The following is a 23760-nucleotide window of genomic DNA, read 5'->3' as shown; positions in this document are numbered from 1 at the left end:
GTCTTGGGGAACATGGGAAGAAGCTGTTTCAATGAGGGAGTGTCCAATTAGGTCAGATGCTGCTGACAGATCAAGTAGGAGGAAGACTTAAAATTGGTCACTGCATTTACAACATGGAAGTCATTGGTGAGTTTGTAATAGTGGTATTAGTGGAATTGTGAGGATGAAAGATGAAGTAGTTTCAAAACAGAATGGAAAAAGAATAGGTGGAGATAGTGAATATGGAAATTCTTTTAAGGAATTTTATATAAAGGGAAGAAATAAATGGAGGCATTTGCTGGTGGGAGAAATGACCAGTCTCTAAAATGGCTCAATAGCAATGCCAGGAGCTGGTTTTCAAACAGTGGGTTGTTCTATTTTGAAGCAGGTAGCTACGAAGAACTCTAGGAGCCTCGCCTATGACTCTACGATGGGCTTGCCAAACACTCTACATGGCATCCCTATCTGTCACAAATCCCTCTAGCATCATTGGATCAGCAGATCGTATGAGCTAGGGCATCTTGCGTGGCAGCTTGGATCTGCTCCAGAGCTCTCTGTTCTGGGCCCCACACAAAACTGACAGCCTCTTAAGTCACTCAACACGTTGGTAGAAGAAGTATTCCCCAATACAGCTTATAGTTCTCCAAAATCCAAAGAGGCTCACTAAGCACTGTATCTCTTTCTCAGCCCTAGTAAGTACAGGGTGTAATAACTTGTTTTATTTTTATTTATTTATTTATTTATTTTGAGACAGAGTCTCACTCTGTCTCCCAGGAGGGAGTGCAGTGGCGCGATCTCAGCTCACTGCAACCTCTGCCTCCCGGGTTCAAGTGATTCTCCTGCCTCAGGCTCCTGAGTAGCTGGGACTATAGGCACGTGCCACCATGCCTGGCTAATTTTTTTTTTTTTTTTTTGTATTTTTAGTAGACATGGGTTTTCACCATGGTGGCCAGGCTGGTCTGGAACTCCTGACCTCATGATCCACCTGCCTTGGCCTCCCAAAGTGCTGGGATTACAGGCATGAGCCACTGCACCTGGCTAATAACTTGTTCTTTATCTTACAGGGCATGTCCCAACATGCCTTAGACCATTGAACCCCTAAACACTTCACTAGTATGGGAGACATTGCAGGATCCTTTCACAAGAGGGTGCAGCCTGTGGGGTCTGAGAACTGGCTCGGATCTGGAAACTGTGGGTCCATCAACCTTCCTGACAGCTCTTGATTTTTTAAATTGTTATACAAGTCATGCAGTACCCTCATTGGCTGCTTGTCTATCTCACTCATAGGAACACCATGCTCTATTAGCCATCACCAAAAACTCGTGGACTGAAGCACTCTGGCCTTGCTGGCTGTTATGGTTTATATTCATCTTGACTCTGATGGTTAAGAGCAGACACCTGGTCTTTGTTATTTTGAAATGGAGCCCAGTTAAATGGCAGAATCACCTATTCTTATGCTGGCCTACAGTGGACAATCATTGCTAAGCTTCCCAAAGATGTTGTCACCCCCACACCGATAGATGTTCTTGCCCCTCACTTATATATTTGAAGGCAATGTCCCTGAACCCTCCCAGGAAGTCCAGGTGTCACATAATAAGTTTGTTCGAACAATCCTATCTCCCTGAGCATTCTGACCCCTTCCTCAATTTTCTGCCAAGGCACTGCAGCCTCTTCCTGTAACTTACTGTAAGGCATTATCATGTCCAAGCCTCAAGGAACCATTCAGAAACAAATTGATACTACCTCCAAGACAGTTCCTGAGTCAGTAGTTCCCTCCCTCTCCTATTTATCATCCTTCCAAACAGTCCCCACTGTGTCCCTCTAGTTCACGCTGATACCAAGCCAAGCCCTGCAGCTCTTTCTGAACATAAGGTGTTTTCTTCTGCATCCAGGTCTGTATTTCTCTACCTGGACTACCCTGAGAGCTAACCCCAGTTATTGGTCTGGAAGCAACGAATGAAGGCCGGGGCAGAGCTTGAGGAGGGCAACATCATTTTGTCACAGTCGCCATCAAGAATCTAGTTGCAGACTGGGCGCTGTGGCTCACGCCTGTAATCCCTGCACTTTGGGAGCCAAGGTGGGTGGATCACTGGAGCCCAGGAGCTCAAGAGCAGCCTGGGCAACGTGGTGAAAGCCCATTTCTACAAAAAAATGCAAAAATTAGCAGAGTGTGTTGGTGCATGCCTGTGGTCTCAGCTACTCGGGAGGCTGAGATGGGACGATTGCTTGGGCCTGGGAGGTCAAGGCTGCAGTGAGCTGTGATCACACCACTGCACTCCAGCCTGAGTGACACAGCAAGAACCTGTCTGAGAAAAAAAAAATCTTGTTTCACCTAGATCTGAAGAAGAAAACAGAAGCAACATTCAAATTAACATCAGTCAACTGATGGAATATTTTAGATGAAGTAAGAGAAGCCAAGGCATGTACCCTCAGGCTCTGGGCTTCTCCCTGCAAGGTTGGGAAGAAATTTGGAGGAGGCAAAGTGGGAGCAAGTCAGATGGAAGAGACATTATGGGTCAGGTGGGTGAGAACTGTGGGAGGGAGGTTCAGGGTGCTCCATTTAGCAGGTTTTTCATAGTGCCTGTGCAGTCCAGGGCTCTGATTTCTGTAAGCAGAACGATGTCATTCATTCTTTTATTCATCTATTTGTTAAGTCAACATTTATTGAGAGTCTCTTATGCTACTCACTGTGCTAGGTGGTAGGGCTCAAAGATGAATAAAACGCTGTTTCCTTTTTTTTCAGAAATTCATAGTGTAGTGGGAGGTGGACCAAAATGCCATTGACTTGATTGCCTGACACTGACAGGTGCTGAAATAGAGGAATATACGGGATGCCATGGGAGGCCAGATGAAGTGAAAAACCCACTCTTACTGGTGTGTGTGCACACACAGGAGGAGTTACGCAATGCCTTGTCTGGTTTCCTGTCCTGGCACATTTCCATTGCTTATTTCTAGAGCCACTTGACCGTAATAGCTGGTCAGGGATAATGTAAAGAATCTTCATTTGGCAGCTCTGAGGACTGCCCAGTCAACCTTCCCTTCTGTCCTCAGCACATATACCTAGTTTCTTACTCGCTTTTGTGACTCATCTCCTCTTGTACCCTAGACATCTTTTCTATTTTTATACCTCTTGCACCCTCAAAGATCCCTTGAGACTCTCTTGCCTAAACCTCTTTTAGGCAAATCCTACCTCCTTTTCTCTATACCTGCTTTGAGAGAAGGGGAAAATGTCTTAATATATGCACTAATTAGGCCCCTTGATGGTCTAATTTCAGCCTTACATTGTTTCGTTTTGTAAATGAGCCCCAGGGAAGTTAAGTAATTTGTCCAAATTCACACAACTAGAAAAGACAAAAGCAGGACATTGAATGTAGAGCCAATATTCAGAGTACCTGATTTTAGACCCAGTATTCAAAGCACCGACTGCTATGGTCTGAATGTGTTCCCTCCAGATTCATGTGTTGAAATCCTAACCCCCAAGTTGATACTATTAGGAGGTGGGACCTTTTCAGATGCGACTGGGTCATGAGTGTGCAGCCCGCATGATTGGGATTAGTGCCCTGTCAAATAGGAGAGACTGCAGAGAGCTAGCTAGCTCCTTTTCACCATGTGAGGGCACAGTGAGACAGCCCTGTCTATGAGGAAGTGGCTCTCACCAGACACTGTTGGCACCTTGACCTTGGACTTCTCAGCCTCTAGAACTGTCAGAAATAAATAAATTTCTGTTGTTTATAAGTGACGGAGTCTAAGATATTTTGTTAATAGCAACCTGAAGGGACTAAGACATTTACCAAAACCTTAAAGGCTCCCAGATAATCACCTCTAAAACACTCAGTCACAACATTTTTCTATTCAAAGTCTCCAGGGAGAAAAGACAAAGCACTACAAAGACTGCCTTGTAGTATTACAATCTCTTCACTTTTTCTATCAAATGTCCTGTTCCCCCTGTGCACCTAGAGACTCACAAGGCATTTAACATCTCTGCCTTGTGAGCCTAGAGGTACATGAGGGGCAGAACCTTTGATAGAAAAAGTATGTGCATGCGCACACACAGACATATATATATACACACACACGTATATTTCTGCTTAGTAGATACCACCAAACAATTTTCCAAAGTGATTGCACCAGTTTACATTTCCACCAGCAGCATAGGCAGTAATTATCCTCTTCAACATTTGGTATTGTCAGTCTTTTGAATTTTAGCCATTCTGGTGAGTTTGTAATAAAATATCATTGAGGCATTAATTACATTTACCTGATTATTAATGAGAATGAGCACTACTTTAATAAGTATAATATTTTCCATAGGTTTTTTGAAGACATTGTCTCTCAGATTAGAGATGGTCAAGGCCATACAGTTTCTTTTAGCACAGCTTTAGCTACATCAAACGAATTTTGATTTGTCATATTTTCATGATTATTCTGTTCAAAATGTTTTCTAACTTCCCACTGTGATTTCCTCTCTGAATCTATAGGTTTAGTTAGAAGTAAAGTTAGAAGTTAGTTTGAAACTTCCAAACATATGGCTACTTTGTGAATATAGTTTTGTTATTGATTTCTAGCTCAATTCCCCTGTGGTCAGGTAACATACTCTGATTTCAGTTCTTGAAATTTGTTGAGACTTGCTTAATGGCCCAGCATTTTGTAATTTTGGTGTATGAACTAAGTGTGTATTCTGCAGATGTTGGGTGCAGTATTCTATGAAGACCGATTAAGTCAAGTTTACAAATGTATACTCCTGTAAATGTAAACTGATTTTTGTCTTATTATTCTATTAGATCTCAGAGAGAGTAATAAAATTTGAATCTATGCTATTAGTTACATGTAAATTTAGAATTGTTGTATGTTCTTGACAAATCTAATTTTCATCATCATGAGGTCACTTTCTTTGTCTTTAGGAATGCTTTTAACCTTAGTGTCTAGTTTGACATTATTGTTAAATCTTTGAGAATTCTGATATTTTAGTCTTGTGTTTTGTAAGTAGCATATCAAATTCAGTGTTATTCGAGATAACAACCTTTGTCTTTTAATCACTGAATTTAAATATTTACATGTTATGTAATTTGTGATATTTTGGGGTTTAAATCTACCATTTTGCTCAGCTTTTCAATTTGTACTGCTTGTTCTATGTTCCATTTTTTTCATTTCTTGCCTTCATTTGCATTGATTGAAAATTTTTAAAAGTTATTTGAGTCCTATAAATTCTTGTGGTGATTACACCAAATATTGCAATATGTATATCTGACATAAAAATAAAATATCATTTGGTTGTTTTTTCTCTTCTGGGGAATGCATGTACTGTAAAACACTATCACTCTGTCTCTCCTGACTTAATGCTTTTTCAGTGTATTATAATTTTCTATATAATTCTCCACAAGATTTTACTTTTGGTTTTATATAGTCAATATTCATTTGTAGTTATCATGCCTTTCTGCATTTCTGACTTTCTACCTGAAACCTTTTCCTTTTGCCTGAAGACAGATTTATATATACGTAGATAAATAAATTCAAGTCTACTGGGGATGAACTCTCCCAGTTTTGGTTTGTCTGAACATGTCTCTTTTTACTTTCATTCTTGACATATATTTATATCTTGAGAGCAGAATTCAGGGTTGGCAGTAATTTTTTTTCAGCATTTTGGAGCTATTGTTCCATTGTCTTTTGGCTCAGAATGTTGCTGTTGAGGAATAAGCTGTGAGTCTGATTATTGTTCCATTGATGGCAATCTTTTTCTCTGGTTGTGTTGAAGATAATTTCTTCGTTCATTTTTTTGTTTTTAAATTTAACTAGTTTTTGATTTCCTGAATCCATCAATTGATGTATTTAATTAGTTTTAGAAATGATTCAGCTGATTACTCGTAAATGATGTTTCTGTTCCATTACCTCTCTTCGTTTAGTATTTCAGTTAAATATATATCAGAACTTTTCATGGATCTTTTATATCAGTGTCATGATTTGGAAAAAGAGAAGTACAAAATTGAGAATAAATATTCTGAAACCAACTGGCAGAGTAATTTTATGTCCTTTGAATCCAATAAAAATTTGGGCATATATTCAGTGTCTTTTTATTATTTCATTGTTCTAATAATTCATTTAAATTACATTTTACAAAGATATCATTTTATGACATTTTGGATTTTTTTTTAAGTTTGGAAAGTGCTTTACCAGCTTCCTTAACCTTCTTATAATTTTTTTTTAGCTTTGTCTTTTAGCTTTGTAGTATGGATATTTTCTTCCATACTACAAATTCTCTCTTCATCTGTTTGTAATTAAATGTGAAAGCTATTGTGTTTTAATTGTTATTTTTTTAATTCTAGCATTTTCACTGGCTCTTTTAAAAAATTAGTTTTCAGTTCTCCGCCAAAAGTCTCAAGGTTGACTTTTGTCTCTCTGAGCAAATTAAATATAGTATTATTTGAAGTCAATACACTTTTTTTTTTAAGTTGAAAAACTCTAATTTCTGAGCCTTTGTGATCTATGTCTGTGATTTCTTGGTTTTCATTTGTGTGGTCTTGTCTTGTTTTTCTGTTTTTCTTTTATTGTATTCAGATATTTGTACTTAAAACATTATTTGTAGACATAATTAGAATTCTATAATGATGTTGTCATTCTCCAAAGTGAATTTATATTTACTTCTGCTAGGTACTTGGGGCCTTAGCATTATGGGATCATGTTAATTCAATTCCAGGTACTGTGAAACTGAGTTTCTAGAACCTTCTTTTGGTTTATCATTGTTTTTAGGGTACTGTCCTTCAGTGGCCCATCCAAATGCAAAGAGATTCACCAGAGCTATCCAGGCTTGGTGATGCTGGGCCCCAAAATTGGCCTTAGCTCTGTGAGACACTTTTTAACCACCTTCCCGCTCAGCCACTTGGCCTCTCAGTCCTGCTTTTAGAAATTGGCATATGCTTCTAGGCACAGTGACTCACACCTGTAACCTCAGCACTTTGGGAGGCTGAGGCGGGTGGATCACTTGAGGTCAGGAGCTCGAGACCAGCCTGGCCAACATGGTGGCTGTCTCTACTAAAAATACAAAAAATTAGCCGGGTGCGGTAGTGCATGCCTATAATCCCAGCTGCTTGGGAGGCTGAGGCAGGAGGGTCACTTGAACCCGGTAGGCAGAGATTACAGTGAGCCGAGATCGTGCCACTGCATTCCAGCCTGGGCAACAGAGTGAGACCCTGTCTCAAAAAAAAAAAAAAAAGAAAAGAAAAGAAAAAAGAAATTGGCATATACCGTATTGGCATATACTGTAGAGAAAACTGCCCTACATGCCGGACTCAACTCCCTTGGTCTCTATCCTTTACCTGATACTAACCCAGTAATTCTGCACTATCTTGTTAGCTCTCTAGCACACCGGAGTAGATTTTTAAAGTATATTTTGTTTTGCTGATTGTCCTCAGTAGGTGGGATGGTATGAATTACCTAGTTCTCCATTCCTAGAACAGGAAGTCTTATATAATCTAGGTTTAACCAAATATCTCCATTAATGAGTAAGTGATTATGAAAATATTTTTAAAAAGAGGTTGATTCTGGAGATTTCCCTAATAATACAAATTTAATTGAACAACAAGAAAGGGCAGGGCTGACATTTTTCTAGCCCCTTATATAAGTACTTCTTTAGTTACATTACCAGAGAAAGCCATGAACAAAATAATTTGGCCAAAAAATTGTGAAATTATTCAGATAAATGTGATCTTTTAACAATAAATGAGGAAGTAACCATGTTTAATGCTATGAGTAGAGCATTTTGAAAATGGATATTTGGGAAATCTCCAATAGTTATGTATTTTTATTGCCAAAAATGCAGTGAATATGCCTCTTTAAAAACTCTCGTATCTACATACTTGGAAATGGAATTTTTAACCTTTTAAAAATGATAAATAAACAGTTCTAGGGGACTTTGAATCAACTTTTTTAAAGTTTGTATTAACAAGTAGTTGACATTAGGGAAGATAAAAATTTACTATCCAATTTTTATTGGAAACTTTAATTGATGGATAGGGTTGAAAAACAAGTATCATACTTTAGTGAGATAAGCAATAAAGTTCTTTTCTTGTTTTAATTAAAGTATTTTGGAAGTATCTTTTCCATGTCTGATAACTATTAAAACCAAGCACCAGGCCAGGCATGGTGGCTCACGCCTATAATCCCAGCACTTTGGGAGGCTGAGGCGGGTGGATCAAGAGGTCAAGAGGTAGAGACCATCCTGGCCAACATGGTGAAACCCCGTCTCTACTAAAAATACAAAAATTAGCTGGGCGTGGTGGTGCGTGCCTGCAGTCCCAGCTACGCAGGAGGCTGAGGCAAGAGAATAGCTTGAACTTGGGAGGTGGAGGTTGCAGTGAGCCAAGATCACACCACTGCATTCCGGCCTGGCGACAGTGAGACTGTCTCAAAAACAAAAAACAAAAAAAACAAAAACAAAAAAAACCAAGCACCAAAAGAAATGAATGTAAAATCAGACCTTTTATTCATAGAGGTTTAAATAGTGAAGCATATTCAATCACACAGCTCTCATCAAAATATTATTAATGAGAATTTCAAAGGTAAGCGCAAAATAGTTTTTGCATCATTAATAACATTATAAAAATGTGAAATATTTTATATTTCAACTTTCATCATTTTACTTTTTCTATATATTATATATACTGTGTTTTCTATATGTTAAGTGTACAATGTCTATATTATATATACATATATAAAATTTAAAACTGAATAAAATATATACATTTTAGGAATGCTTACTCAAAAGTTTTTATTGGTTAGTCCCAAAAATTTGGTGACCATTATTTAGGGTTGCCTCTGGAAAGTTGCCTTCTAAGTTTTACCAGTTTGGATAAGTGGTCTCTACCCGCTACCCTCACCCCATTTTCCTCCCACTGAACTCTGTTTATATTGTTCATAGTACTTATCACAAACTATAATTATATATGTATTTGTTTGTTTACTTATTTATTAGATTATGAGCTCCAGGATGGTAAGGGTTATGTTTGTTTCTTTTTTTTGTTTTTGAGACGGAGTCTCGCTCTGTCGCCCAGGCTGGAGTGCAGTGGCGCAAACTCGGCTCATTGCAAGCTCCGCCTCCCGGGTTCATGCCATTCTCCTGCCTCAGCCTCTGGAGTAGCTGGGACTACAGGCGCCCACCATCACGCTTGGCTAATTTTGTTTGTATTTTTTAGTAGAGATGGGGTTTCACCATGTTAGCCAGGATGGTCTCGATCTCCTGACCTCATGCTCTGCCTGCCTCGGCCTCCCAAAGTGCTGGGATTACAGGCATGAGCCACCGTGCCAGGCCTATGTTTGTTTCTTTTGCCAACAATACCCAGAGCCTAGGACAGCATCTGGAAATGACTGATCCTTTGATATGTACTAAAGGAATAATTCAACAGATTATATGTTTCAAAGTGAGACAGACATGGTGTGGTAGTCTTCCTCCAGGATGGCACCCAAGGGCTCCACCTCCTGATATTCTTCCATTTGTGTAGTTCCTTCCCACACTAGTAGGATTGGTCTCCACTACCAAAAGAGTACAGCAGAAGTGATAGCATGTTACATATAAGATGGGCTTATAAAAGGCACTGTTGCTTCTAATTTGATTGCTATCTCTCTTTCTTCTATCACTTGCTCTGGAGGAAACCAGTTGCTATGTCATGAACTGCTCTATGAAGAAGCCTGTTTGTCAAGGATCTGAAGCCTCCTGCCAATAGCTGCATGAACGAGTTTGGAAGATCCAGTTCTACCCTTCAGATGACTGTAGCTTGACGTCAACCTCATGAGAGACCCTGAGACAGAACCACAAAGCGAAGTCCCTCCTGGATCCCTGATGCTACACAACTATGTAATAAATGTTTGCTGTTTTAACTACTTAGTTTGGAGTCATTTGTTACTTGGCAATAGATACATAATACACTTGGGTTTGAATACCATCATTGCCCTTTACATACGACTTCATCTCTTGGAGCCTGTTTTGTTTTCTCAAAATGGTAATAATATTTACTTACAGTGCTCTTGAAGCAGCATCCTGATATTTAGTAACTTCTTAATACATAGCTACCTTCATTTTTATTATATTTATTATTAAGTAAAGTGAATGCTTAAGAACAGAGAGAGCTATAGAGCAGCTATAAAAAGGAAGCCTCTAAACCCCAAAAGAATAGCTACCTTGGGCCATTACGTTTAGGGGCAACTAGCTTTGTCGGCTTTCCTCGATACTAAGAGCCTCATTGTATCACAGGCCACGTGGGGGGTCATAAGTCAGCAAAGGCCAATCAAAATCTATGTACTGTACTGTTTATTTCCATTCTTTTACAGAGAAACCACACTAAAACATATAATACGCATATCTTTGTCTTCCTTAACAATGTGTTTGTGTTAAAGGATGTTTCCACAGCCTAGGAAGTCCTTTTTCTCTGGAACAGTGGTTCTCAAACTTCACCATGAATCAGAATCATGTGGAGGGCTTATGACAGGCGGATTGCCAGGCTCCCACCTCCTGAGTGTTTGATTCAGCAGGTCCATGTCGGAACCTGAGAGTTTGTGTTTTTAACCAATTCCCAAGTGGTGCTGATGTTGCTGGTCTGAAGACCACATTTTGAGGACCACTGCTTTGGAACATCATAGTCTCTGACAAATGAAACCTCATAGTGCTAAAGAATTAAGAGTAGTAGGCCAGGTGTGGTGTCTCATGCCTGTAATCCCAGCACTTTGGGAGACCAAGGCGGGTGGATCACCTGAGGTCAGGAGTTCGAGACAAGCCATGGCCAACATGGAGAAACCCCGTCTCTACTAAAAATGCAAAAAATTAGCCAGGCATGGTGGCAGGTGGCTGTAATCCCAGCTACTTAGGAGGTTGAGGCAGGAGATCACTTGAACCCAGGAGGTGGAGGTTGCCGTGAGCCGAGATCATGCCATTGCACTTCAGCCTGGGCAACAGAGTGAGACTCCGTCTCAAAAAAAAAAAAAAAAAAAAAAAAAAAAAAAAAAAAAAAAGGCTAGCAATGTTTAGGGAAAATGTGGAGTAAAATCAGTCCAAATTCCTTACTGTAATATACGAGGCCCTGCACACTGTAGCCCTACTTTTTCTCACACTGCACTCCTTATATTCATTTGGCCTTTGTTCTGCTCCTTAAAGACACCAGGCTTATCTCTGATTGTGTGCACTTGCTGCTCCTTCTGCCTGAGCCTCTTCTGTCTTAGATTATGGCTCTCTCTGTGTCATCATCGAAGGCCCAGTGAGGTGTTTTCTACCTGAAGAAGACATTCTCTATGATGCTTCCTGCTCTCCTAGTTTAGTCTGTTCCCATCACCTATCGTGATCTGAAATTGCCTTTTTATTTGCCTGTTGGAAAATTCCAATATAACAGACACCTCATCTCTTAGGTTCTTTGCTGTCTCCAGCACCTGGATCGGGGCCTGGTATGTGGAATGTGCTCAACTAGGTATCTGTTGGTTGCAAACGTGGGTGTCTGGCATGGGACTCTACTTTATAACCTAGTTTTGGAGGGAAATGAAGAACACCGAAAAAGGAACATGGGAGCCTGGGGAATATGGACGCACCCCACATGCCCTCGCCTGTGTCACCGCTGCCAGGATTCTGCCAGCTTGCAGTGTGAAGGAAAGGGGTTTGCACTTTTCCTCTCCCTGCAGAATCTTCTACGCCCTTGGTTGCCCCATAAGAAGACAACATGGGGACTTGGGCAATACATTTCACTCTCAGGATTCCAGAAAGTTGCTAAATGGGTTACTTTTTCATCCATCTGGAACACTTCTAACTTGTGTAAGTGATTCTCTTCAGTCTGGCTTGACTCTGTCAAGTTGTCCCCAGTGACAGCAAGGGAAGGACAGCTGCTTCCCCGTGCCTGTTGGTGTCAGGTGGGCTCTGTCTGCAGTTGTTTGCCCCTGGTGCTTCTAGCTGTTTGAGATCCTAGGTTAGGAATGAACCCAATCCATCTTATTGCCAAGGACATGTGGACACTAAGATGAACAAAGAAGCAAACCTGCATACTCAGTTTAAAGTTGTATTTGTTTTTCTCCCAATGGTTTGCTCATTAAAAATTAAGTGCCTATGCCAATGCTGGCTTAGGCAAGGCCTGGACATTCTCTCTGCAGACACTTGCTGGTGGTCTGAGCTGACTCACCCTCACGCCCTCACCTCACATGGCTCTGCCCTTGGCGCCTGGTCTTGGGAGGTTTGCATTCTTGCAGCAATCTCGGGCTGCTACCATGCCATAGGCAAAAACAACAGGACTGTCTTTAGGGAATTCAGGAGTGAGTCTCACGGTCTAGCCACTGGCTTTTACTGCATGAGGCTGGGGGAGGGTTTTCCCAAATAAGGAGACCTGAAAGTCCTCTTCGTTGGGGATGCTCTTGACCTGCACAGTGCTAGAGTTGGAAATGTTTATACAAATGCACTTCACATTTTATCTGTTCTTTGGATAGGCCTGTAGAACATTCCAACTACACTCATTTCTTTCGCTTCTGTCCTTTATCCATGTTAAAGCCAGTTAGAGACACCGGTACTTAATTAGTGACTTTGGCATTGCTCACACACCTTGTGCCAGGAATGAACTGAAGATGAATTTGACAAGAAGCAGAGGTTGTGGGCGGGGAGGCTTTGGCAGCTCCCAGAGGAGCTTCCTCGGGCGTTTTGTTAGAATGTCTCATCCTCCTCTAGAGCTTTCCTGTGTTTGTGTGGGAGTTCAGTTCAACAACTTGTTAAGCACCTACTCCATACCAGGCACTAGTCCAAGTTAGGTGCTGGGGATACCAAGACTAATAAATTCTGTCCTTGCCTTCAAGGAGCTCAGAATCTTAACAAGAGATGAACCTGTGGTGGTGGCTTCAAGATGGCCACACATTCTCTCTACTCCTTCCCTCGAATTTGGACTGACCCTCTCTCTCACTAGCTTTGACCAATAGAATGTGGTGGAAGAAAAGTGCAACTTCTGAGGTTGGGACTTAAGAGATCTACGGCTTCTGCTTCTGTCACTCCTAAAATGCTACTTGTAAGGAGCATTTGTCACCCTGTAAGGAGCCTGACTTGTAAGGAGGCCACCATGCTGTGAGGAAGCCCAAGCTAGCCACATGGAGTGAGAGTGTGAGAAGAACCTGAGGCACTGGGCATGTGAGTGAACACTTCATGGACCTAGACTCTAGCTGAATGCAGCTGAGTGAATGAACCTAAGCCAATGCCTTGTGGGGCAGAAGAACTGACCAGCCAAGCCTTGCCTAAATTCTTGATCCATAGAATTGTGAACAAATAAAATGGTTGTCATCTGAACCCAGTAGGTATTGGGGTAGGTTGTGACACAGCTAATAGATCATTCAAACACACACACATATTCTTAGATAATGATAGAGATACACATAGGATGCTACAGGAGCACAGACGAGGGGTCCCAGAGACAGCCTGTGGTGATGATGGGATGGGCATTGAATGCTTTCCAAAGAAGGCTGGCTTGAGTAGCAAACTTCACATCTCTATAGACCTGGATGTGAACCAGGCTTGAGGGAAAGTGAAGGCTGTCTGGGTACAGGAAAACAGAACAAGAAAACATGGAGGTGATGAATAGCATGATACATATGTGAGGGCTTTTCAAGCAGGAAGTAATGGGTAAGTTTGCAGGGGTGTCATCATCATCATCATCATTGGGATAGATGCCATTTATTGAACACTTGATATATGCCAGATGTGGATCTAAGGTTTTCTATATGTTAACTCATTTAAATAATTCTAACAGCAAACCTATATTATCATTACCTTTTTACATTAGAAGCAAATGAGGCACAAAGAGATTAAATAACTTGCTCATGGGCACACAGCTGTCAAGCACAGAGTAAGGATTTGAACTCAGGCAAGATCTCAAAGAACTTTCTGTGCCTCTTTGAAGATCTCTGTATTTGCTCTGTAGGGATACAGAGTAACCCAGAGGTTTTAAGTAAGGGAGTGGCATGGTCACATCAAAAGATTCTACTGTTTTGCAATTTTTCCCACTTCAGTTATTTTCATTGTCTGTTGTCTGTTTCTCTATAGTGACTAGCAATGAATCTCTTATAACAAGCAGAGCCTGTGAGCTCATCTTTGAGAGGATGTAAGGAAGGAGGGAGGGGCATGGGTCACGTACAACTCCACAGCTGGTCGTAGGGGTGGAGGGAAGGACAGAACGCCCAGGGAGAAAATGGGTGTGGTGGCCACCAAGAGAAGAAAGCTGGCTGCATCCTTGACCCCAGGGAAGAATGAGGACAGCAGCACATGGGAACCAGCCTGTGCTAAACTCTTTGGAGCTGAGGTACCGATGGGATCCTAGGCTTTGCAGACAATCTGCCTTTCTCTCTTTCCTTCTCTCCATGGCCCTTCAGGAGATTAGCATCAAAATATTAAAAACAGCTGTTGAGCTCCTAACAGCAATTAGCAAGGAAGAGAGCATTCCATGGAAATCCAGAAATGTTCTCCTGGCCATGGCTATTGGCTTCTGAAGAAGTCCTTGAGGGCAACTGTGGAGTCGCGGGACCCACATATACCACATCCATCTTCTCTCTGTCCCTTGCTCTGTCTCCATGTCTACGGGCATGGAGCAGACTCAGCGGAGTCTGAATCTCTGTGCAGATTTGTCAGATTCTTGTTCCAGCAGCTTTTCATGCAAGGAGGGAAGCAACAGAGTGTAGAATAAGAAAGAAGTGTGGCTTAGGGCCTAGGAGAACCTAGAAGACCTAGCCTCCAGCTTAGCTTGGCCAATACTTGCTTTGTAGGATATGGGCAAATGTCTGAAGTTCCTAGGTCCCAAGGTCCTCATCTGCAATATGAGGGTGTTGGATGAAGATTAATCTTACCACAAAGCATAAAAATTACAATAGCTGAGGTTTACTACACATGGACTAAAAACCTGACCCTTTGCTAAGGACTTTTTTTACTTTTTTAGTTAATCCTCACAATAACCCAAGTTTAATGAAGCTTACTGAAGCCTTCCCTCATCCAATCCAAAGCTCCCTGTATACATTATCTATTGCTGTGTAACAAATTACTTCAACTCTTCATGGCTTAAAACAATAATAAAATGTATCATCTCATAGTTTCTATGGGCCAGGGATTGTGAAGCAACTTGGCTGGGTGGTTCTGGCTTGACGTCTCTTATGAATCTGCAGGCTACAGTCTTCGGAAGCCTTGACCAGGGTTGGACGATCACTTTCAACATGATAGGTTGGCTCTGGCCATTGGCAAGCTTGGTGCTGGCTATGGGCAAGAGGCTTCATTCATCACCACCTCACCCTAGGACTGTCTGTTAAATTACTTGAGTGTTCTCTCAACGTGGCTGTTCGTTTCCCAAGAATGAGTGACCCAAGAGAGTGATTTGGTAGCTGCAATGTCTTTCATGACCTGTCCTTGGACATAACACCCTCCCATTGCCTTATTCTGCTGCTTCTAGTTTTAAATTTTAACCATGTTTCTGATGACAAGGAATGCTGCAAAAATACTCTAGTTCAACAAAGAGTTATGATCACAAAATAATTTTTATCCATTCTACAGTGTTTCAGAATTACCAGTTGATTTTTAAACACAAAGTAGATATAGATGCCAATGGTGGCTACATCTTATTGGTTACCTGGGTTAGCCCACTCAACATGAAGAGGAACACACAAGGGGATGAATATCAGGAGGCGAGGATCATTAGTGGCCATCTTTGAAGCTGCCTACCACATCTTCCCCTTAAATTTCTATCATATTATTGTGTTCTATTTTTAATAGTTTTTATCTGAAATCATCTTTTTTTGGTAGAGACCCATTTCCTCCCCATTAGAAGATAAGCTTCCCAAGAGCAGGAATTTCATCCTTTTTATTGCTGTACCCCCAGCACCAGAACAATGCTGGTTGCATAGTTGTTGCTCAATATTTAGCATGAGATAGGTATTACTTTGCCAATTTCAGACACAGAAACAGAGGCTCAGAGAAGTTAATTTGCCTGAAGTCACATAGATATTAAGTGGTGGAGCTGAGAAACCAACTTATGCATAGGGACTGATACCCACAGTCTACTTGGTTGGCCCTCAGCAACTCCATTGCTGCCATTATGCAAGTGTCTGCACATGAAGAGCAGGACAACATCCAGGAGAAGGGCCAGGAGAATTCCTGGGTAACTGGGAGATACCAGGAGGAAGTGCATGAGTGTCTATATGAATGGATGCATGTGTATGGTTGAGATGGTTGAGTGTGTATATTTGTGTGTATAGCAGACAGAGAGAAAGAGAGGGGGGACAGAGAAAGAGAGAGAGAGAGAGAGAGAGAGAATGTGTGGATGTGTGGGTAAGGTAGCTGGATCAAAGGGGAGATAATGTACTCTGGACAGCTTATATGACACAGACCTGGAGATAATATTTTGACCTTAGCCTTATTGGTTTTCTTTGAAAAATTTTTCTCCAAGGAATATTCTTATTAAAATGACTAAGTAAATTTTCCTTTAAAAATCCCACATGCAATTTAAGTCATTGGTTGACTAGCAAGTCTACTGCCAAATTACACATGGAATACTAACTTGATTATGTTTGCGGGAATTATCCATTTTCTGGATTATTGGCCAGAAAAAGAGAAATACTGTCTGTTGGCCACCCACTCTCCATTCTCCTTTCCACCCTCCTGAGGGAGGGGCCCTGATATTCATCAAATACTCAATGGGGTTCTTTTAGAACAAAGCCTTATCCACCCCCTCTCCTTGCCTGGGAGCTAGAAATTTGGGGGAGGAATGAAGGGAAATGGTTATGAAAGTCCCTCACTTACTCTCCCTCCTCTGAGGCATTCTGGGTGCTGAGTTTTGGAGCAAGGGGTATTGTGTGTAGAGTAGAGGTTTTTGGTCTTTGAGTGAAAGCAGAGTGGAATCCAGGAGAAAGCCCACATAAGTTGATTGCTGAGGCTGGCTCTGATCTAGTATGGAAGTGAAGGTGGTGGTGGGGTCCCACAGTTACTTCAAGGCCCAGCCCAGTTTACCAGGGTAGGAAAGCAGAGAAAGATTTTGTGTAGAAGGCCTGCTCAGGAAAAATGAGTTTGCATTTAGCTTGAAAGTATCCTCAGGAATCTGTGGGTGGCTGTGGTTAGCTGGACCAAAAGCAGACCTGGCTGAAAGATTGAAGTAAGCTTCCTCCTCAAATAGTGAGTTGGTCTCCATCAACAGTATCTAGACACAGACTGAATAGGCATGTGTGAGAGAGAATGGCATTCTCCCAGCTGGTGCTTACCATTTAGACCAAAGTTCATTCAAGGAAGGTTCTACTGGGGCCCTACCTTATCTTTTCCATGACTCCCTGATGAAGAGGATGTAGCACAGTGGTCAAGAGCACAGGCCTTAGAGTTTGTGTGCTTCTGTTTGTGCCCTGGCTCTGGCACTTGCTAATTATGTGACCTTAGACAAGTTACTTAATTTCTCTGTGCTTCTATTTCCTCAAATGTAAATGAGGATACAAATTGTTCTTACTTCTTAGAGTAGTTGTGATGATGGAATTGGGATAATACATGTAAAGCTCTTGGAACAGTAGGTTGCATTCAAGAATTTAGTTAACTAACGTATATGGAGTAATATACATTGCTATGTGCCAGGCATCGGAGAATGATGAAGGAGGCCCAGTTCTGCCCCTCATGAAACTTACCTTCTAGTGTTTGTGGGGTGGGAGGTAGAATAATGCCACCCCAAAAAGATGTCCATGTTCTAGCCTCCAAAACCTATGAACATGGTAGGTTACATGGCAAAGGGGAGTTAAGGTTGCAGATGGAATTAAGGTTGCTCATCAGCTGATTTTGCAATAGAGACAGCAGCCTGGATTATCCAGGTGGGCCCAGTGGAATCACAAGGGTCCTTAAAAGAAGGAAGAGGGAGGCAGGAGAGTGTCAGAGTGATGCCATGTGAGGAGGACTCAACCGGCTGCTGCTGACTTTGAGGATGGAAGGGGGACCCAAGCCAAGGAATGCAGAATCTTTTCCTATGAGATTGGAAAAGAGGCTGCACGTGGTGGCTCGTGCCTGTAATCCCAGTACTTCGGGAGGCTGAGGTCGGTGGATCACCTGAGGTCAGGAGTTCGAGACCAGCCTGACTAATATGGTGAAAACCTGTGTCTACCAAAAACACAAAAAAACTAGCTGGATGTGGTGGCATGCACCTGTAGTCCCAGCTACTCAGGAGGCTGAAACAGAAGAATTACTTGAACCTGGGAGGTGGAGGTTGCAGTCAGCTGAGATCATGCCACTGCACTCCAGTCTGGCTGACAGAGCAAGACTCCATTTCAAAAAAAAAAAAAAAAAAAAAAGCTGAAAAGGGAAGGAAATGAATTTTCCCCTAAAGCCCCAAGAAGGAACATAGTCCTACTGAAATCTTAGCTTTAGTGAGACCCATTAAGACCCATTTCAGACTTCTGATCTCCAGAAGTGTTAAGACAATACATTTGTGTTGTTTAAGCCACTATGTTTGTGATAATTTTTTGCAGCCGCAACAGGAAACTAATACTAATGCAGATAAGAAGTAAGTGAACAAACAAATATAAAGTATGATTTCAGGTAATGAAAAGCGCTATGAAGAAGATGAAGCAGGATATGGATGACCGAGCCTTGGGAGATTAGAAAAATAAAAGATGAAGCAGGATACAGGGAACGATGGAGACGGCGGATCTCTTAGATGGTCAGGGAAGGCATCTCTGGGAAGATGACATTTGAGAAGATGTCTGAATGAAGTGAGAGGACAAGCCATGGGTCTGCGTTCCAGACGGGGGGATGGAGGCTACGAAGTCCTTAAAGAGGGGAAGAGCTCGGAGAATTAAAGTAGAATTAAAGGTCAGTGTGACCAAGGCACAGTGGGCAAGTGAGAAAGTCATAATGAGTGAGACCAGACGATGCAGAAGTTAGATACTACAAGCCCTTGGAGTTTGGATTTTACTCCCAGTGTGACAGGAAACCATTAGAGGCTCCCCTCCAATGGAGGGGTGACAGGACCTGATTTACATTTTATGAAGCTCACTTAGGCTGCTGTGTGAAGACTACACTGGAAGAGGTTAAGAGTGGAGGAAGAAAGCGAAGTCAGGAAGATACTATGGAAGAAGATGGATTACACTCAGCTGGTGGGGATAGAGTTGGTGAGCCATATCTTGGTGGTTAGAGCTGACTGGGCTTTATAATGGTTTGGATATGGGGTTTGAGGGAAGGGAGGAAATCAAGGATGCCTCCTAGGTTTGGGCTGGAGCAGCTAGGTGAAGGACAGGCTTTTTTTTGTGTGTGTGTGATGGAGTCTCTCTCTGTCGACAGGTTGGAGTGCAGCGGCGCCATCTCAGCTCACTGCAACTTCTGCCTCCCAGATTCAAGCGATTCTCCTGCCTCAGCCTCCTGAGTAGCTGGGACTACAGGTATGCACTACCACATCCAGCTAATTTTTGTATTTTTAGTAGAGATGGGGTTTTACCATGTTGGCCAGGATGGTCTTGATCTCTTGACCTCATGATCCACCTGCTTCGGCCTCCCAAAGTACTGGGATTACAGGTGTGAGCCACTTCACCCAGCCAGGGACAGGCTTTTTACTTACATGAAGAAGACAGGAGAGGAAAAGTGTGAAGGTTAAAATTCAGAATGCTTATATAATAAATGATGAACGTTATTATCAGCATTTGATACTCCTGACACACTGGTTTATTGTTTTCTATCTCCATACTATGCTCATAATTCCTCAATCTGGAACTTTCTGCTCCCTCTTCACTATCATGTGATAAATGCATATCTATCCCATCTCAACTCATTGCAACCTCTGCCTCCTGGATCTAAGCGATTCTCCCACCTCAGCCTCTCAAGTAGCTGGGGCCACAGACGTGTGCCCCCATGGGCAGCTAATTTTTGTATTTTTATAGAGATGGGGTTTCACCATCTTGGTCAGACTGGTCTTGAACTCCTGACCTCAGGTGAAGCACCTGCCCTGGACACCCAAAGTGCTAGGATTACAGGAGTGAGCCACCATGCCCAGCCCATATCCATCTTTATGGATGCCTCTTTTCCCATTCTACCTCTTTCCTATGTACACTAGGAGAGATCTCTTTTCCCTTGAAATCCTAGTATTTAGGTCTAATATTTAGGTCTCCTTAACAGTTTGCACTGGGATCTTATTTATGTAAGTCTTTTACCTTCACTATCAAATGGTAATCTCCTTGAAGGCAGGGATGTTCATTACTCTTCCTGAATTCCCTGCTGCATAGTCACTTGCACATAAGAGATACCCCATAAATGATTGCTGAATGGAATCAATGTTACAAAGAAGATGACTGCATTGAACTAGGGAGTGGGGAAGTTGAACTAGGCATTTTCTAAGGCTTTCTGCTCTAAAATTTTATAATTCATTTGATTGCAGGTTGCATGTCCCTACCTGTGAGACAATTTCTAAGCTGCGTATTCCTTACTTGATTACTGAGTGCATGGAGAATGCAATTTACCCTCATGCCAGTCCAAGGAAAGAAGAAAAGATTGGGTTCATGAACGCACACAAATACAGTTTGCTGATGCCAAATATGAATGGTTTCAGATTGTGCACAGTTTTATACTAGCCATTCTTTCTTTCTATTCTCTCCTGTCTCCCATTAACAGGGACAACCTTACAATAGGTCAAAAATAGGAAATGGTGGTAGGATGCCATTATTACCTTCAATTGTTCCATTTCCACACCTGTGAAAGAGTATCACCTGTACTATATATTTAATGATTTAATTTTGGCAGTACACATATGTATCTATTTCCAATTCCAAGATAAATATATATTCAATGATTACATAATGCAACATGCACTTAAGGGAAGTTGTTGCTCTTAGCAATAACCTAGAGTTTTGCTTTTATCTATGTATCAATTAGCTTTTGCTATGTAACAAGTAATCCCACAATATGATGGTTAAAAGTAGCAACCAGTTATTTCATTCTTAATTCTGTAGTTTGGCAATTGGGCTGGGATTCCTGGGCAGTTCTGGTCTGAGCTGGCTTGGCTGATCTTGACTGAATTCACTTAAGTATCTATGATCAGCTAATAAGTTGACTGGGGCTTTGTGGTTTGACAGCTCAGCGGAGACAGCTGGAAAAACTAGGTCACTCTCCACAGGATCTCTCTTCCTCCACAGTCTAACCTCGTCTTCTTTATATAATGGCATTAGGAGTCTACAAGTGAGAAAGGAAGTATGTAAAGCCTCTTGAAGCCCTGGTTCTGAACTTTTCACTGTTACTTCTGCTACATTTTATTGCCACAGGCAGGTCACAAGCCTCACCCAGATTCAAGGGATGAATAAATTGTCTCTTGAAAGGAGAGGCAGAGTTGCATTGCATAGGCTGTAGATACAGGGAGGGAAGAAGAATGGTGGCCATTTTTGCAACACGTCACAATCAGCTGGGGTGCTTTTGCCTTAAGTTACAGAAAATAACTCCAAGTTGTTTAAATGATGAAAACACATTATGTATCTCTTGAAATACATTTGGAGGAAAAGTGATTCCAGGGTTACTTCAGCTGCTTAGCAATGCCATCATGGCCCTAGGGTTTTTTTTTTTTAAATTTCACTTTCCACTCTGTCATATCCAGCATATTGGTTTTTGTCCACATTTTAACAAGATGTCCATGACAGTTTCAGGCTGTACTCACAGATGATAGAATCCAGAGGAGAAGAATGGAATGGCTCTGTCTTGTGTCTTCTTTTACAAATGAGGAACATCTACTCAGAAGCCCTTGCAGTACTCCCACTGGGTCCCATTACATCACATTCCTATGCCTGAGCATAGGAATTCATCTTCATCTGGGCTTCCTCTTCATGTTAGTGGCAGCCTGGCTACAGAAAAGCTCTGCTTGTTGACGTCATACTACTAGCTATTGAGGTGAGAAGGTGGGAATTGGGTGGTGAGAATTTTCCTCAAGAAATATAGCAGCTTAGGAAGGTTGAAAGTAGGGTAACTGGTTCTACTCAGAATAGTAGATTTGAGTTTATCCTTCTGGATGTTCCTACCATTTGCAGTGATTTCTTTAATAACAATAATAACAACAATAATGGATGGTAAACATCTGTGCAAACATAACACTAATTCATCTGGTAGGAGGTGATGTGGATCAATGCATTTCAAATAAATTAAAACAAATAATTTTCAAAATTTTCTCTTTATGTGATTATTTTGACTACTTATGTCTGCTCCTTGAGTCATGTAATAAGAAGTATATTTCTTCAAATCTTAGAGGCAACAATGAGCTCTGTGTTTCACAGCTTAAACAGTCAAAAAGTACAGGGTTGAAAAATAGACACCGGCTAGGAAACTAAAGCTTTTGTTTACAGAGTACATTTGTCCTTAATTTAATTAAGTCTCACAACATCTATTCGTTCTCTTGTCTTTAAAATTTGACCTGGGGTGGCATGTATGGCAAATGCAAGTATCATTTTTCTAGAAAGTCTCAAGTGAAAAGTGCTTATCCTTTAACTCTTCTCCGTAAACAAAGTGTCTTGTAAAAAGGCCATCACCTTGGCAACTGTCAACTGAATCAGCTTTATGAAGACAGAGCCAAACTACGAATAAACCTGCAGCTAAGGTGTAATTATTTTGCCATTAAAGAAAGTGAAATTTTTTAAAAAGTGACTTCTGACTATGCTTTGTGAAAGATGAAACTATTTAAATTTAAAGTAAACATAGTTTAAATTTAAAAAAAGAAGAAGTTACCCTGAATGGCCAGTTTGAACATTGCATTGTTCTACAGTTTCCTTCCATTTATGATTCGTTTGAATGTCTATTTTCTCTCCTTGTTAAACTGCTTACACTTCAAAAGCTTTTCCCCTTTCTATAAGTATTACTCTTAAAGTGAAATCAGCCAGTGGTTTAGTGCATTCCACACTCTGGGTTTTTAAAAAATAGTATTGGTGTTGATTCTCTGGTAGGATTTTGTCATTAGAATGTGTACGGGTTTTTGACTGTCAATCTTCTTGCCTATAATGACTTGGATATCCATGGACTTTCAAAGGCAAACCACAATGATTTTAGAAAATAATTAACAAAGTGTGTAATTGGTCACAGCTCAAATATTGGCAATAAAAGTATAAATTTAACATGTGATTGACTTAAATTATATCATTTTCTCGAGTCATGTATTGCAGGGGGTTACACAGTCAGACATCAGGGCATGAGGCTGGTTAGGAAGAAATTTGGGGGGGAATTTCACTTGAGAATGTTGTGTATTTTCTAAGCACCAAAAAACTATGCTAAGAAACATAAAGTCATTTTTGCATCCCAACCCCAGTATTATGCATGGAAGAAAGACTGGAGGAACAGCTCAGAGTCATTATCCCTGATGTGGCTCCTATTAGGGGGCAATTTCCCATTGTGTGTAGTTTGGCTAGAGTGCCTTAGTTGTATGTGGAAGCTGAAGAGGGAGACCCTTCAATGCTCACTGCATAGCAACATGGTTGTAGTCACATGAACTAGGCTTGGACACTGACGCTGAAATTCCGAAACTTGGATGATGGCACAGGAATGGGACTAAGTGAGGCAAAGAAGCATCTAGGGTGCTAGGGGGTAACATTTAAGGAGGCACTCATTCTTAGAGTCATGAGAGTGCTGATCTGCATTGGTACGACCCTGAGAGTGAGTGCCTCCTTTTCTTTCTTTTTTTTTTTTTTTTTTTGAGACGGAGTCTCATTCTGTTGCCCAGGCTGGAATGCAGTGGCATGATCTCAGCTCACTGCAAGCTCCACCTCCCGGGTTCACGTCATTCTCCTGCCTCAACCTCCCGAGTAGCTGGGACTACAGGTGCCCGC

The 23760-nt window shown here is 41.4% G+C and overlaps 1 long non-coding RNA gene across 1 annotated transcript in view; it reads left to right on the top strand.

The window, feature by feature from the left end:
- The window catches only part of KLF3-AS1 (KLF3 antisense RNA 1), a 65801-nt gene extending 60529 nt beyond the window's left edge, over window positions 1–5272 (top strand). Inside the window, exons 14-16 of the long non-coding RNA NR_171644.1 lie at window positions 1872–2056; window positions 2316–2499; window positions 2723–5272. This is a non-coding gene — a long non-coding RNA (KLF3 antisense RNA 1). The remainder of the gene's footprint in view (window positions 1–1871; window positions 2057–2315; window positions 2500–2722) is intronic.
- Window positions 5273–23760: the final 18488 nt, after the last annotated feature.

This window comes from Homo sapiens, chromosome 4, assembly GCF_000001405.40.
Source record: "Homo sapiens chromosome 4, GRCh38.p14 Primary Assembly".
NCBI lineage: Eukaryota > Metazoa > Chordata > Mammalia > Primates > Hominidae > Homo > Homo sapiens.
The sequence above is the reverse complement of the archived record's forward strand: the minus strand, read 5'-3'. Positions and strand labels throughout refer to the sequence as shown.